The sequence below is a fragment of the Homo sapiens genome, chromosome 17, assembly GCF_000001405.40.
Source record: "Homo sapiens chromosome 17, GRCh38.p14 Primary Assembly".
Lineage (NCBI taxonomy): Eukaryota > Metazoa > Chordata > Mammalia > Primates > Hominidae > Homo > Homo sapiens.
This window is the reverse complement of record NC_000017.11, coordinates 48,801,962-48,817,985: the sequence shown is the minus strand read 5'-3', so window position 1 is coordinate 48,817,985 and position 16,024 is coordinate 48,801,962. Positions and strand designations below refer to the sequence as shown.

At 46.7% G+C, this 16,024-nt stretch overlaps 1 protein-coding gene and 1 long non-coding RNA gene across 8 annotated transcripts in view, besides 2 other annotated features; one reads left to right on the top strand and one right to left on the bottom strand.

Moving 5' to 3' along the window:
• Positions 562-911: a silencer, noted in NCBI's record as "silent region_8660". NCBI's record gives its function as "represses an Ori minimal core promoter by ATAC-STARR-seq in GM12878 lymphoblastoid cells {active_cell/tissue: GM12878}" and the evidence as "EXISTENCE:reporter gene assay evidence [ECO:0000049][PMID:35858748]".
• Positions 757-16,024, top strand: part of TTLL6 (tubulin tyrosine ligase like 6) — a 54,996-nt gene continuing 39,728 nt past the window's right edge. For 2 of the 7 annotated variants that reach the window (NM_001130918.3, XM_017024491.3), the window contains exons 1-3: positions 757-1,016; positions 12,995-13,214; positions 14,058-14,095. In NM_001130918.3, coding sequence (NP_001124390.1) covers positions 914-1,016; positions 12,995-13,214; positions 14,058-14,095 — 361 coding nt within the window. In that variant the 5' untranslated portion in view covers positions 757-913. Of the gene's footprint in view, positions 1,017-2,134; positions 2,205-2,587; positions 2,653-5,755; positions 5,825-12,994; positions 13,215-13,462; positions 14,096-16,024 lie in introns of those variants that run through there. The other 5 variants (XM_047435804.1, XM_047435803.1, XM_017024493.3 and 2 more) reach the window with 5 other exon arrangements.
• Positions 1,002-1,051: a silencer, noted in NCBI's record as "silent region_8659". NCBI's record gives its function as "represses an Ori minimal core promoter by ATAC-STARR-seq in GM12878 lymphoblastoid cells {active_cell/tissue: GM12878}" and the evidence as "EXISTENCE:reporter gene assay evidence [ECO:0000049][PMID:35858748]".
• LOC105371813 (uncharacterized) lies at positions 1,028-5,746 on the bottom strand. Its single transcript, XR_001752926.1, has 4 exons — positions 5,627-5,746; positions 4,899-4,926; positions 1,994-2,147; positions 1,028-1,557 (listed from the first exon to the last, which is right to left on the bottom strand). It is a non-coding gene; the product is annotated as an uncharacterized LOC105371813 (long non-coding RNA).

Here is a 16,024-nt window from a genome sequence, read left to right as displayed (position 1 = left end):
TAATTTTTGTATTTTTAGTAGAGAGGAGGTTTCGCCATGTTGTCCAGCTGGTGTTGAACTTCTGAGCTCAAGCGATCCACCCACCTAGGCCTCCCAAAGTGCTGGGATTACAGGCGTGAGCCACCGCGCCCGACCATCTTCAATGATTTGAATCCAGTCACTACTACAGATTCTCCACCTGAGACCAAATGGTTGCTCTGAGAAGCCCAGACCCCTAACCCCTTAAGTCTCACTGACTCTTCAGTCGGTCTAGGCGGCCCTCTCTTACTGATCAGTTCACTGGAGGCCATGACCCCCACACTCTGGAGGTGAGGTCAGGGTTCAATACGCCTGAGCGGTCATCACAGGTTTGCAACACCCATTTTCCTGTTGAAGAAGCTAAGCCTCACAGAGGTAACGTGGCCTGCCCAAGGTGACACAGGCACTAATATGCCTGAGATGCTGATTTAAGTCTCCAACCAGTGTTTTCCCACAGTGCCTCCTGCTTCAGGTTTGCCCTCTCCCGAAGGCCTAAATTCAAGGTGCCCCCCTCCCTCACCGCAGCCCCGCGCAGCTGGACCTCTGGAGCCAGACGTTCTGGCCGCGCCCGCGCACGGCGCCCGACGGCACCGGCGCGGATGGGCTGGGACTGCGGCTTGGCTCGCTGGGCAAGGGTAGGGCTGCGGGAGCGAGCGGCGGTCCAGCCCCTGGCGCCCGGGTGCGCGGTGCGCGCGTCCTCCGCGTCTCCCGGGACAACCGTGGGCGCGCCCCTCCCCTAGCGCCTGGGCGGTTAATTGGATTCGGGAGGGAGGGGGCATGGCAGCTACTGCAGGGGCCAATCGAAGGCCTAGAAGGCCCCGTATGCAAATATGAGGGCCGGGCGGACCCAAAGTTAGGGCGAGCGCGGGTTGGGGTTGGGGCTGTCTGGCAGCCAATGGGAGCGTTACTCCTTCATCCTTCGAGGAGGGGGCCGGCAGGTGTGGTTGCAAGCTGGACTAGCAGCCCAGCGGGGCGAGACGGGGGAGTAGGAATTGCGGGTAAGAGCGCCCCAAAGCCCGGTGCTGGCTCCAGACCGCAGCCTCCTGGTGCCTGTCCCCTGAAAACCTGGCTAGACACGTCTCCTTAAACCCACACGGGACCCAGGTCCCCAGGGTAGCCCGCTGCCCTCCCTGGTGGCGTTCCATGGCGCCAGGCACTCACCCTCACGGTCCCTCGGCTCCGGGACTCCCCCCTTCTCAGTCCCTCTTATTAACGTTCATTTCCCGCCCTCCCCCGATTTCCTAAACCACAGTCCACCAAGGAGCTGTCGCTTAGACACCAGCGATCCCTGGGACTCACACAACTCTCTTCATCCCCTTCATCCCCATCATTGGGTCATTTTCTTCATCACTGTTCTTCCTTTGTCTGGAGAAACCTTCCAGCAAGACACTTCCCATTTTTCATGGCCGGCATAGTCCTCTGCTGATGCCCCTACCGCCTTCCAGCCTGGTGTTCTTTCATTTCCAGTTGTTATTTCTCACCCCTCCTGAAAAAATACTCTTCTGGCTTTGCAGAAAGTTCTCCTTTGGGATTTGAACTCTAGGAAAAATATCACATTGGGGGATGAAGTGGGAAGGGAGCTAACGTTTTGAAAGCACCAGTATGTGCGAGGCACTCCAAAAAAATTTAATATTTATGCCAATCTTATTATTATATTTTCTTTTTTGTTTGTTTTAAGAGATGGAGGTGGGGGTGGGGGGGCTCACTTTTTTGCCCAGGCTGGTCTCGAACTCCTGAGCTCAAGTGATCCTCCCACTTGGGCTTCCCAAAGTGCTGGAATTACAGGCATGAGTCACCACGCCTGGTTTATATTTTCATTTTACAATATAGCCTTTATTTTGAACCAAGCACTGCTTTAAGGGTATTAGAAATATTAACTCATTTAATCTTTAAAACAGCTCCATAAAATGAATATTATTATCATCCCCATTTTACTTATACAGAAGCTGAGGTACAGAGAGGCTAAGTTACTCACCCATGGTCACACATTCTAGAAACTAGTAGAGCTGGGATTTGGATCCAGATCCATCTGTCTTTGTTAGCAATGCCCTGAATATTGTGGAGAAAATGACTAGGCATGAGCCTGATCTGAATATTGCATCTTCCAATCTTGCAGAATTTCTCAGTTTCTAGAAGAATAAAAGATGGCATCTAAGTCAGCAAGATTCTTATTGTTCCCACTACAGGTGACTTGTCATTCTCAACACTTCTTATTGGCAAAGCCCTTGAGCAATTGGGTGCCCCATCCCTCCCTTGTTAGTTCACATTTTGCTTAGGACCCTTTCAGGCCCCGGGCTGAAATTCAAAGTGTGACTAAAACGAAAAGTCAAAAGACCACAAAAAACATCTTATTTTATCCTGTCTGAATCAAAGCTCAAAGCACTTTTCTAGATGTGAAGCTTTTATCCTCCTAGTGGTCCTGTAATTATAGAGAAGATAGGGAGTGGGAGAGGAAATAATTGCTTGGATTTTTATGACATACTGAGTTGGAGGGGCAAAGCTGAAAGCAAGATCCAGAGGTCTTACCTCCACATCTTTTCTTCCCCCATCCAATTTGACATTTTCCAAGAACCACTGGAGGCCTTCAGAGGGATGCTTCCAGTAGGGAAATGAGGACCAAAAGATGAAAAGGAGGTACGTGAAGGAAAACCTATTATCTGGTGAAAGAGAGGGACTTCACAGACAGACACAATAGGCGAAACTTTCAGTGCTCTATATATTCCTATAGACTAGAAAAAAAGTCCAGGTGATGAAGGTCAGAGATGAAAAAACTTGGCTACAACTTGAAATATGTTCTCCCAGGGTTCTCTTAGTCAACCACCAAATTATTGTTTTCTATCATTTATAGGATGCCCGTGTTCATTCAGTTTTGCAAAAGAAATCACTAAACTGCTGGGCGCGGTGGCTCATGCTTGTAATCCCAGCACTTTGGGAGGCTGAGGTGGGCTGATAACCTGAGGTTGGGAGTTTGAGACCAGCCTGACCAACATGGAGAAACCCCATCTCTACTAAAAATACAAAATTAGCCAGGCGTGGTGGTGCATGCCTGTAGTCCCAGCTCCCGGGAAGCTAAGGCGGGAGAATCACTTGAATCCAGGAGGCAGAGGTTGCGGTGAGCTGAGATCGTGCCATTGCACTCCAGCCTGGGCAACAGGCTGGAGTTTGAAAGAAAGAAAGAAAGATAAAAGAAAGCACTAAACATTTTCCACCCTCTGCAACACCTCCAGGGAAGAGGAGAGTAGTCAACAGGTATAGTCCTTCAGAAGTGGAAATAAGACAGGGACCCTCCTCTGAGTTTTTTCCAAATAACCCGCAATGGACCCGTCCCAGTGGACCCGTCCCAGTGCTCATTCCCTCCCCCTGGTGGCCAATGTAGGACATTTTCGTGCTGTCTAACCAGGATCTTGTTGACAGCCTCTGGCTTGGAAGATCTCAAGATCAAACCCTATACTAAAATGGAAGGAAACATGAGAATTTTTTCAGTGTCTTAACTATATCCTACTTGGAAAGGTGGACTAATACCCTTCCTTAATGACACAATGCTCTTTCTTGTGTCATTAAGAAAAACTGAAGATGCTATTTTGCTATTTACTGTGTTTGTTACATTGGTAGTACAGCTCTTAGTCTTTTTTTTTTTTTTTTTTTTTTTGAGACACTGTCTCCCTCTGTCACCCAGACTGGAGGGCAGTGGTGCGATCTGGGCTCACTGCAACGTCCGCCTCCCAGGTTCAAGCGATTCTCCTGCCCCAGCCTACCGAGTAGCTGGGATTACAGGCGCCTGCCACCATGCCCAGCTAATTTTTGTATTTTTAGTAGAGACGGGGTTTCACCATGTTTGCCAACTTGGTCTCCAACTCCTGACCTCAAGTAACCCACCTGCCTTGGCCTCCCAAAGTGCTGGAATTACAGGCGTGAGCCACCGCACCCAGCCTTAGTCTTTTAAAAACTCTCTAAAGCACTTAGTCCACTTTGTCTGTCCACTAACCCAGCATAATGGGAAGATAACTTGGGGACCAGGAAGCTGGGGTTTTGATGGTGCTTCTGATTTCTTGCTCTCTGGCTGGGTACAAGTCCCCTCCCCTAGCACAGACTGGCAGAGGGCAGAGAGTTCAAAACCTCCTCTAAAAAGATTCCTCCCAGCTCTAACATTCAGGAATTCCATAGAAGCTTAGAAAATATTCTAATTACACCCTTAATAGGAGCCCTGGTACAATGTGGACATTGGAGAAAAGAAGGGAAAGAGAGTGAAAATAAATACAAGTAGAAACAATACAGCTGTTACCAGGTTATGGCAAATCTGGAGAGATCCAAGCCCTTGTTGGAGATGGGAATTTAAAGCAGTTGACTTTAAGGAAAATGATGTGGGACCAACTGATTATTTTTCTCTTTTTCTTTTTCTTTTTGTTTTTGAGGCAAGGTCTAGTTCTGTCTCCCAGGCTGGAGTGCAGTTGTGTGATCTCTACTCGCTGCAACCTCAGCCTCCCGGGCTAAAGTGATCCTCCCACCTCAGCCTCCTGAGTAGCTGGGACTACAGGCACACGCCACCACACCTGGCTTATTTATTTATTTATTTATTGGTAGAGTGGGGTTTCACCATGTTGTCCAGGCTGGTGTCAAACCCCTGGCTCAAGTGCTCTGCCCACCTTGGCCTCCGAAAGTGCTGAGATTACAGGCATGAGCCATCGTGCCTGTCCCCAACTGACTCTTAAGAGACTAAAGTCACTAAGATTGCTTTTGGGAGTTAGGAGATCAGTTACTTTAGTTTATGGTCACACTATTTATGGATGGCCTGCCGAGAGGAAAAGGCAGTGAGGGGAGCATGGAGAGACAGGCTGTGGGGTCAGATGGACATGTCTTCCAACCCCAGCTGTGCCTCTTACCTTAGTCTCTCTGTCTCAGTCTTCTCATCTGTAATAGAGGAAAGAGTATCCATGATAGGTTATTATGAGGATGAGACATTATGTTTATAAATGCTTTAGTGTAATGTCTGCTACTTGGTAAGTGGGTTTTCAATAGTCTATTGTAAGTGAATGAAACAAGCATTTTAAGTGCCAGCTATATGAGAAGGACCCAAGGTTGATGTTTTAACAATGTAAATAACAAATGTTACTTACCTAATGCTCACAACAACACTTCTGTTATATAGCTAAGGAAAATGAACCTTGGAGAAGCTTAATTAGTTCATGCATTTATTCATTCTTCCAGCCCATTAATTCAAGGAGCATATGAACATCTCATTTTTAGTATCTTTTCTAGACACTGCTAGGAGCTGAGAATGCAGAGACACAGCCTCTTCCATCAGGAAGTTCACAGTCCAGGGTTACACAGCTGGTAATGGTAGAGAGCACTTTGTGGGTACCTTCTATGTGCCAGGCACTGTTCTAAGAACTTTGTGTTGCATTAAGTCAAATGAGTAAACTCATTTAATCTCCATAACTGGGAGAAGCCACTTTACAGATGAGGAAACTAAGGCAGGAGGTTAAATAAACTGCCTGAGTTCAGACAACTAGGAAGTGGCAGAGCTGGGATTTAAATCCAGACAGAGACTTCGAAATCTGAGTTCTTAGCTACTACACTGCAGCTGCCTCTTAATAAGTGGCTTAGTCACCTGTAGCTGACGGCAGAGGCCCTTACACCATGATGTATGTATATTTCAGGATGCCACCAGCAGCTCCCCTCACTCCTTTGTATTCTCCTTAGGCCATGTCTTTTGCCTTTCCTCCTTTTATTCCTCAAGGCTACAAGACTGCTTTTGGTGTTGGCACCAACAAAATTGTTACGCAAGACAATAGGTGGGAACTACCAGGTGAGCAGGGAGTGGTTGCTAAGACTGTTAAGAGAAGTCTTGTAGAACCAAATAAAGTCCACATCTGAAAAGTCTGAGCGGGGGGTGGGGGGGGGGGTCCCAGCATCACCTGGGTCAGATTTAATTCTTATTCTGAAAACCAGGGAATTAAAATGCTTTCTGGCTGGGCGTGGTGGCTCACGCCTGTAATCCCAACACTTTGGGAGGCCGAGGTGGGCGGATCACCTGAGTTCAGGAATTTGAAACCAGCCTGGCCAACATGGCAAAACCCCGTCTCTACTAAAAATGCAAAAATAATTAGGCCGGCATGGTGACAGGTGCCTGTAATCCCAGCTATTTGGGAGGCTGAGGCAGAAGAATAGCTGGAACCTGGGAGGTGGAGGTTGCAGTGAGCTGGGATCGTGCCATTGCACTCCAGCCTGGGTGACAGAGCAAGACTCTGTCTCAAAAAAAAAAAAAAAAAAAAGCTTTCTGCTCAGCCCTGGTGGAAGTAGCTTTTGTTTTCACTTGAAACTGCTTGGAGGCCAGAGATACTAGAGCAGAACTGGTATAAATTCAGATGTCTATAGGGTCAGGCATATAGTTTAAATGAAAGAAGTGGGCTGCGTTTAAGAAAATGTCACCTCTCTTGAGCTGGGCACAGCGGCTCATGGTTGTAATCCCAGCTACTTCCAAGGTTGAGGCAGGAGGATCTCCTGAGGCCAGGCATTTGAGACCAGCCTGGGCAACATAGCAAGACCATGTCTCTAAAAAAGAGATGTCTCAATGCTACTATAAGAAAAATAGGCTGGGCATGGTGGCTCACACTTGCTTTGAGTAATCCCAGCACTTTGAGTGGCCAAGGTGGGTGGATCACCTGAGGTCAGGAGTTTGAGACCAGCCTGACCAATATGATAAAACTCCGTTCTCTACTAAAAATACAAAACTTAGCCAGGCATGGTGACAGGCACCTGTAATCCCAGCTACTCGGGAGGCTGAGGCAACAGAATCGCTTGAACCCAGGAAGCAGAGGTTGCAGTGAGCCGAAATCATGCCACTGCACTCTAGCCTGTGTGACGAGTGAGACTCTGTCTCAAAAAAAAAAAAAAAAAAAGAAAAATAATAATATAAGGATAACTGTCACTTGGCTCCTGTGTCAGGGAAACAAAAAGGAGTGTTGGGCATTGGGGCAGACTGGGAAATGTCTACAGGAGGCATTACTGAGCTCTGGTTGATTGCTGGCATGAAGGAATAGAGACCTCTCCAAAAGAAATGGAAATCTGCATTTTCTAGTTGTTGGCAACTACATATATATACACACACATACTATATATATATATATATATATATATATATACACACACATACTATATATGTGTATATATGTACTATATATATATACACACATACTATATATGTGTATATATGTACTATATATATATACACACATACTATATATACACATAGGTTTTTTTGTTTGATTGTTTTTTGAGACAGGGTCTCACTGTTGCCCAGCTGGAGCGCAGTGGCATGATCACAGCTCACTGCAGCCTCAATCTCCTGGGCTCAGGTGATTCCCTTACCTCGGCCTCCCGAAGTGTTAGGATTATAGGTATGCGCTACTATGCCCCAGAAGTAGACATTTCTGCAAGCTAGATTCAGCATGCCTGTCCCCAGTAGGCAAACTTTGAAGGAGATGCTCTTTCAGGATCTTTGGAGAGACAGGATTCAGCCTTGGAGATTAAACAGGGAGAGAAGCTTGGGGGAAATGAAAGCAAGGAGGCCAAAGACAAAGCAAAAGTAGTCACATGGCAAGTACCATTTGCCATCTTGCACCTGTCTCGGGTACCATCCAAGATGGCTCTTATGTCATAGGCAGCCTAGAATACGAGGAAATGCAGGCAATAATTCCATGGTGAAACAGTTTATCTAAAAGTGCATGGGCTCAATTTTTTACTTTACATGCATGAGGCCCTCTCATGCAAGAGCAAACATAATTTGACCTTTTTTTTCTTTTCTTTTCCTTTTTTTTTTTTTTTTTTTGAGACAGAGTTTCGCTCTTGTTGTCCAGGCTGGAGTACAATGGCATGATCTCGGCTCACCGCAATCTCTGCCTCCCAGGTTCAAGCAATTCTCCTGCCTCAGCCTCCTGAGGAGGTGGGATTACAGGCATGCACCACCATGCCTGGCTAATTTTCTGTATTTTTAGTAGAGACGGGGTTTCTCCATGTTGGTCAGGCTGGTCTCGAACTCCCGACCTCAGTTGAGGCCTCCCAAAGTGCTGGGATTACAGGCATGAGCCACCGCGCCCGGCCTTTCTTTTCTTTTTTTGAGACAGGGTCTCTGTCATCCAGGCTGGAGTGCAGTGGTGCAGCCATGGCTCACTGCTGCCTCAAACTCTTAGGCTCAAGCAATCCTCCTACCTCAGCCTCCTGAGTAGCTGGGACTACAGGCATGCAGCACTGCACTCAGCTAATTTTTTTTTTAATAGAGATGGGGTCTCACTTTGTTGCCCAGGCGGGTTTTGAACTCCTGGGCTCAAGCAATCCTCTCACCTTGGCCTCCCAAAATGTTGGGATTACAGGCGTGAGCCACTGCACCTGGCTTACTCTTTGAGGCAGACACATAGAAGGAGCCATGACTTGTTCTTACCACTCAGGCAAGGACTCAAAAATGAGCAAAGAGAACCCGCACTTCTAGAGGTCAAACTCAGGGTCAGTTTTCTCTCCCCAAGTTAACATTAACCTTTAGGTAAACAGAGCCACTCCTCCTTGAGGGCTTGGTACATAGGAGCCGTTGCGGAGGGCTAGGGGAGTGGAGCTAGCCGTTTACCTTCAAGGAAGGAAGTAGTCCAAGGTCAAGATTTCAAGTACCTTAGTTCCCCTGAACTTTGCCAAGAATGTGCCTGTTCACTGGGAACAATTGACTCAGAAGACCCAGGTTTTATCTGTCCTGAGCACATCTCTTCCTCCCCCTGCTCTGGTGTCACCATAAAGGGTCTTGCCTATAAGTGGCAGCCCTCTTCAGAAAGAGAAAGAAACAAGTGGCAATCCTTGGCTGACGTAACAATTCTGCCATCCCTCTCATTGTAAGCATTCAATGGGAGCATGAATATGAAAATTCTTTGAAAAGCCCAGAGAACTATCCCCACATAAAAGCTTATAATTATATTATTTATAGGTAGCTTCCATAGTTAAGGGCTCCACACCACCAAATTTGGATTTAGAAAGGAATAGAGAAAGGTGGAAGGGTGCAGTCATATCAAAGACATTGGCTGTAGGGTATAAAAGTTGTCTAGAATTAGCAAGTTTGGGCCAGGCGTGGTGGCTTACGCCTGTAATCCCAGCACTTTGGGAGGCCGAGGCGGGCAGATCGTTTGAGGTCAGGAGTTTGAGACCAGGCTGGCCAACATGGTGAAACCCTGTCTCTACTAAAAATACAAAAAAATTAGCCTGACGTGGTGGCAGGTGCCTGTAATCCCAGCTACTCAGGAGGGTGAGGCAGGAGAATCGCTTGAACCCAGGAGATGGAGGTTGCAGTGAGCTGAGATTGCACCACTGCACTCCAGCCTGGGTGACAGAATGAGACACCATCTCAAAAAACAAAACAAAACAAATAGCAAATATGTATAGAGAGGGGAGATGATTCCCAAGAGATTGTGGGGCTCTGGTGAGCCTGCTCTTGTTGCATATTGCTGGTAGTATTCCAAATTATTGCAATCCCTCTGGGAAGCAACATGGGAATATGCAATCCCTCTGGGAAGCAACATATATCTATGCACGTGCACACACACACACACACACACACATACATATGAGAAGCGATGTAATTTGCATATTCATTAGCCCTGTAATATCAGGATATTAAGAAAATAACCCCAAGTAAGTAAAAGGCCTTCTTCACCTGCGATAATGCATTTTAGAGCTATTTGTATAATATTAAAATTGGCAGCAGCTTACATTTCCAACAATAGGACAATGATTGGTTACATACACTCAGGTGCATTCTTTCAATGGAATACATACAGCCATTAAAAACTAGAAATGGCCGGGCGCGGTGGCTCACGCCTGTAATCCCAGCACTTTGGGAGGCCGAGGCAGGCGGATCACGAGGTCAGGAGATTGAGACCATCCTGGCTAACACAGTGAAACCCCGACTCTACTCAAAGTACAAAAAATTAGCCGGGCGTGGTGGCGGGCGCCTGTAATCCCAGCTACTTGGGAGGCTGAGGCAGGAGAATGGCGTGAACCCAGGAGGCGGAGCTTGCAGTGAGCCGAGACCGCGCCACTGCACTCCAGCCTGGGCGACTGAGCGAGACTCCGTCTCAAACAAAAACAAAAACAAAACAAAACAAACAAAAAAACTAGAAATGGCCATGCACGGTGGCTCATGCTTGTAATCTCAACTCTTTGAGAGGCAGAGGCGGGCAGATTGCTTGAGGTCAGGAGTTGAAGACCAGCTTGGCCAACATGGCGCAATCCTGTCTCTACTAAAAATATAAAAGTTAGCCGGGTGTGGTGGTGCATGCCTGTAATCCCAGCTTCTTGGGAGACCGAAGTACAAGAATTGCTTGAACCCAGGAGGCAGAGGTTGCAGTGAGCCGAGATTGCACCACTACACTTCAGCCTGGGCGACAAAGCAAGACTCTGTCTCAAAACAAACCAAAAAACCCAGAAACATGTAAACTTTGCCACAGTGAAAAGGCTGTTTATAATCTACTAAGTGGACAAAAAGCAAATACAAAATTGATTACAATTATATTAGAATAATTATGCTTAGAAATTATTATTTTGGCAGGGCACGGTGGCTCACACTTGTAATCCCAGCACTTTGGGAGGCCGAGGCAGGTGGATCACCTGAGGTTGGGAGTTTGAGACCAGCCTGACCAACATGGAGAAACCCCCATCTCTACTAAAAATACAAAACTAGCCGGGTGTGGTGGTGTATGCCTGTAGTAATCCCAGCTACTCGGGAGGCTGAGGCAGGAGAATCACTTGAACCCGGGAGGTGGAGGTTGTAGTGAGCCGAGATGGCGCCATTGCACTCCATCCTGGACAACAAGAGTGAAACTCCCTCTCGAAAAACAAAAAACAACAACAAAAAAAGAAATTATTTTTATTTTTAAATTAATTAATTAATTAATTTTTTTTTTGAGACGGAGTCTCGCTGTTGTTGCCCAGGCTGCAGTGCAACAGTGCAATCTTGGCTCACTACAACCTCTGCCTCCCGGATTCAAGTGGTTCTCCTGCCTCAGCCTGCCGAGTAGCTGGGATTATGGATGTGCACCACCATGCCTGGCTAATTTTGTATTTTTAGTAGATATGGGGTTTTGCCATGTTGGTCAGGCTGGTCTCGAACTTCTGACCTCAAGTGATCTGCCTGCCTCAGCCTCCCAAAGTGCTTGGATTGCAGACGTGAACCAGCGTGCTTGGCCTTATGCTTAGAAATTAAGAATAAAAGTGAATTCATAGACAGTTTAAAGTGACTATGATAGAGTAGGAAAGCTACAGGTGATTTCTCATCCTACCTCATTTTCTAAGCCTCCTTTAATGTTATATTCTTTCAATGATAATACATTGTAATGTATTATTATCTTTTTTTAAATCCAAAGAATTTGTGAGGGAGGAACAGGTAATAAGTAGCAAGGGGACTGTGGACATCGGAGGAGAGGGGTTGAAATGTGAGGAGGTTTGCAGGATTTTCGGAGGTGAAGAGAGGAAGGGAAAGCACCAGAAAATTGGCTCTGTGGTCATAGGTGCCTTGGATGTGAGGGAATATGAATCCATTAATTGGGCCTGGCAGTTCTGGGTTACCCAAAGGCAAACTAAGCATGTTCTTAAGGAGGAGTGAAGCAGGGGCATTCACATCCATTAAAAATAGTTGATATTTGACATTTCTTTTTTTTTTTTTGAGATGGAGTCTCGCTCTATGGCCCAGGCTGGAGTGCAGTGGCATGATCTCGGCTCACTGCAACCTCTGCCTTCTGGTTCAAGCGATTCTCCTGCCTCAGTCTTCCTAGTAACTGGGATTACAGGTACCCACCACCACATATGGCTAATTTTTTTTTTTTTTTGAGATGGAGTTTCTCTCTTGTTGCCCAGGCTAGAGTGCAATGGCACGATCTTGGCTCACCACAACCTCCGCCTCCTGGGTTCAAGCGATTCTCCTGCCTCAGCCTCCTGAGTAGCTGGGATTACAGGCATGCACCACCATGCCTGGCTTATTTTGTATTTTTAGTAGAGACAGGGTTTCTCTGTGTGGGTAGGGCTGGTCTCAATCTCCCGACCTCAGGTGATCCGCCTGCCTTGGACTTCCAAAGTGCTGGGATTACAGGTGTAAGCCACTGCGCCTAGCCTTTTTTTTTGTATTTTTAATAGAGACGGGGTTTCACCATGTTGGCCAGGCTGGTCTCAAACGTCTGACCTCAAATGATCTGCCCGCCTTGGCCTCCCAGAGTGTTGGGATTACAGGCGTGAGCCGCTGCGCCTGGCGATATTTGGCATTTTGAGTAAACATGAACGAAATCTCATGGGGCCAGGGAGGATGAGATCTTTACTGGACTTCCTTACATGTATTTTATAATTTGATCTTGTTTTTATTTTGGAATGGATGGTGGGAGAGACACAGCCTTCTCTGTGGTTGGTGTCTCTGAAGGTCTGCATCTGGCCCTGGGCTTGAATCTTATTGTTCAATCAGCTACACATTAGTCTTGTACTCCACGAGCGGCAGTTGCATTTATTTTCAGGCCAGCATATTGCTGTGTGGAGGTTCAGTGCAGTGCTGAAACAGTTAACAGACCTCCTCAAAGCACCTCCACCTGCACCCTCTAGGACTAACTCTCTCAGCTAGGAAGGCTTGGGGCTTCGCTGTCTCCAGACACTCACTCACTTTAATAAGATTGTTTACCAGGTGGTGCCATGCACAGCATCTCAGGCTTCTCCTGAAAATCCCAGGAGGGAAAAACCAAGGCTAGCGTTGGCTGAGTGAGTCTCCAAGGTCACAGCCAATGGCAAAAGGTGGAATCAGCTCCCTCCCTGAGCTTGCATCAAACCGCGGAGGCCGGGTGGCATTTTATAAACTGCAACCTGTTGCGTTGAATTAGAACCCTGGGTCTCTACCCACATGAGCGAGGGAGGGGGTCCCCCTGCAGGTGGATCTCTGTAACTGCGGCTCCCTCTGCCCTCTCTCTAGGGGCCTGGTATTTCCCCAGAGCCTCCTCCCAGGCCAGGGAGATGCCACAGTGCCCGACTTTGGAAAGCCAGGAAGGGGAAAACTCCGAAGAGAAGGGGGACAGTTCCAAAGAAGATCCAAAAGAAACCGTCGCGCTGGCTTTTGTGAGAGAGAACCCAGGGGCACAAAACGGACTTCAGAATGCCCAGCAGCAAGGCAAGAAGAAGAGGAAGAAAAAGAGGTTAGGATTGAAAGCTGGGGAATGGGGAGCCATGTTGGTAATAACAGGAAGGACTTGGAGGGAAGGGGGTCTTGGCTGATGATGAGAGAGTAAAGGAGAAACTGTGTGCTGAGACTGTCAACATCTCACCACTTTTGGTTCATATAAAAAGAATCTACTTTCGATGATCTGTTTTATAGAATCAAATGATTGTGTGTGTAATCTAAAAAACCATGCCTTGTCCTAATTTTCATTCTATTTGTGTTTAGGATGCCTTTAAAAAATAGCAGGAAAAGAAGATTTCCTTGTTTTAAGAAGGCGCTGATTTGTCCTGGAAATTTAGTACGCCTTCAGTATGATAGCACCATACTGACTTATCAGGATCCAACTGCAGCTTGTGCATTCCAGTTCTTGTTTAATATTTCACCATGCCTTGCTCCATTCAGACTGATTGATGAAGGAAAGCTTGTCCACTTTCTTATTCATAGCTTCCCTTAATGGGGGGAAGAGGAAGGAGACAAGTATTTTGGCCAAAAATATTTTCAATTCCTGTCCCTGATGAGCCAGTGGAGTAAAAGGCTTGAGGCAATGATGTTAGTGAGAAGCTGCAAGCAAGATCAGCTGTAATTGCAATACAGAATTTCTACCTTCTGGGTAGAGTAATAGTACCCTGATGCCATGTTTTCCACCATGCTGTACCCCCTTGGACTCGTGTCCTCAGCAACAGGGACGGTCAAACCAGGCTTAGCATGGCAGGCTAGATTTCAGACAGCTCCACCTGGGACAGGATGTTTCTGGATACAGTCACTTGTTCTGGCAAGTGTGTCTCTGTCTTGCTGCTTTCCTTTTTCTCTTTTCCAGATGATTGGTGATCAATCTATCCAGCTGCCGGTATGAGAGTGGTGAGCATCTACATTCAGGAGATCTATAATGGGGACCCACTGGATTCTCCCAAAGGGTTGGGAAGAGTCACTCTTGTATATTTGTGAGGATGAAAGGGCGTATCTTCAAATCCTGTCCTTCAGTTCTCCTAGCTCAATGAACTATTTAATTAAAGAGGTTGGGAATCCTATTCCAAGAGTCATGGGTTTTCACCACAATGGTGTGTACTTCAACTATCTGTAATTCTTATATATAGTGATTTGGGGATCTACTTGTAAAAGAGACAGCTGTTGCTGCAGCCAGTGGCTCTGTTTCAGAGTACAAGTTACAAACTTGCAGTTCGTGAACTGAATCTGATCTACAGACCTATTTTCTATTTTAGAACACAGTGTTGCTGTTGCTGTTTTTTTTTTTTGTTTTTTTTTTTGACACGGAATCTTGCTCTGGAGTGCAGTGGCGTGATCTCAGCTCATTGCAACCTCTACCTCCTAGGTTTAAGTGATTCTCCTGCCTCAGCCTCCCTAGTAGCTGGGATTACAGGCAAGTGCCACCATGCCCGGCTAAATTTTTGTATTTCTAGTAGAGATGGGGTTTCGCAGCATTGGCCATGCTGGTCTAAAACTCCTGACCTCAAGTGATCCACCCGCCTCGGCCTCCCAAAGTGCTGGGATTATAGGTGTGAGCCACTGTGCCCGGCTCTTGCTGTATTGTATTGTATTGCATTTATTTATTTTATTTTTGAGACTGGGTTTCACTCTTGTTGCCCAGGCTGGAGTGCAATGGCACAATCTCGGCTCACCGCAACCTCTGCCTCCTGGGCTCAAGCGATTTTCTTGCCTCAGCCCCCTGAGTAGCTGGAATTACAGGCATGCACCACCTCGCCCAGCTAATTTTGTAGTTTTAGTAGAGATGGGTGTTTCTCCATGTTGGTCAGGCCGGTCTTGGGCTCCCAACCTGAGGTGATCTGCCCGCCTCAGCGTCCCAGAGTGTTGGGATTACAGGCATGAGCCACTGCGCCTGGCCATTTATTTATTTTTTTTGAGATGGAGCCTCGCTCTGTCGCCCAGGCTGGAGTGTAATGGCATGATCTTGGCTCACTGCAACCTTCGCCTCCCGGGTTCAAGTGATTCTCCTGCCTCAGCCTCCTGAGTAGCTGGGAGTACAGGTGCACACCACCATGCCCAGATAATTTTTGTATTTTTATTAGAGACAAAGTTTTGCCATGTTGGCCAGGCTGGTCTCGAACTCCTGACCTCAGGTGATCCGCCCACCTTGGCATCCCAAAGTGCTGGGATTACAGGCGTGAGCCGCTGTGCCCAGCCTGTTGCTGTATTTTAAATTAGAATTGAATGCTTTAGGGTAGTCTTGTCCTGTCCCGGTTACTGCAGGCACTTCTCCCATTCTAGGCCCTTGAAGGCATTTGAGTTTGTGTTGGAGTCAGCTCCTACTTATTAATCCTGACAGGAACAGAAAGAAGGATATGACATCACAAATGTGGTTTTGAAATCCAGTGTGTACTTAAAAAAATGCATGCTTAATATACCATATACTAATTAAGCTTGGCTCTGGCTAATGTTAAGGATTAGTTTATATTCCCTGAACATTCAGAGCTTGGTGTTTGGAGGAAAGCCAGAAGCTTGCTTTCTGGCAAAGGGAAGCCAGAACAGGGAAATCATTCACCTCAGATAACCTTCTACGGGGATCATTGAGCACAGGCTGGATTCTTCAGTAGTTTTCAACTCTCCATGTTCCTTTATTTTCTTTCTTTCTTTCTTTCTTTCTTTCTTTCTTTCTTTCTTTCTTTCTTTCTTTCTTTCTTTCTTTCTTTCTTTTTCTTTCTTTCTTTTCTTTTCTTTCTTTCTTTTTTTTTTGACAGGGTCTCCTGTTGCCCAGGCTCAAGTGCAGTGGCATGATCACGGCTCACTGCAGCCTCGACTTCCAGGGCTCAG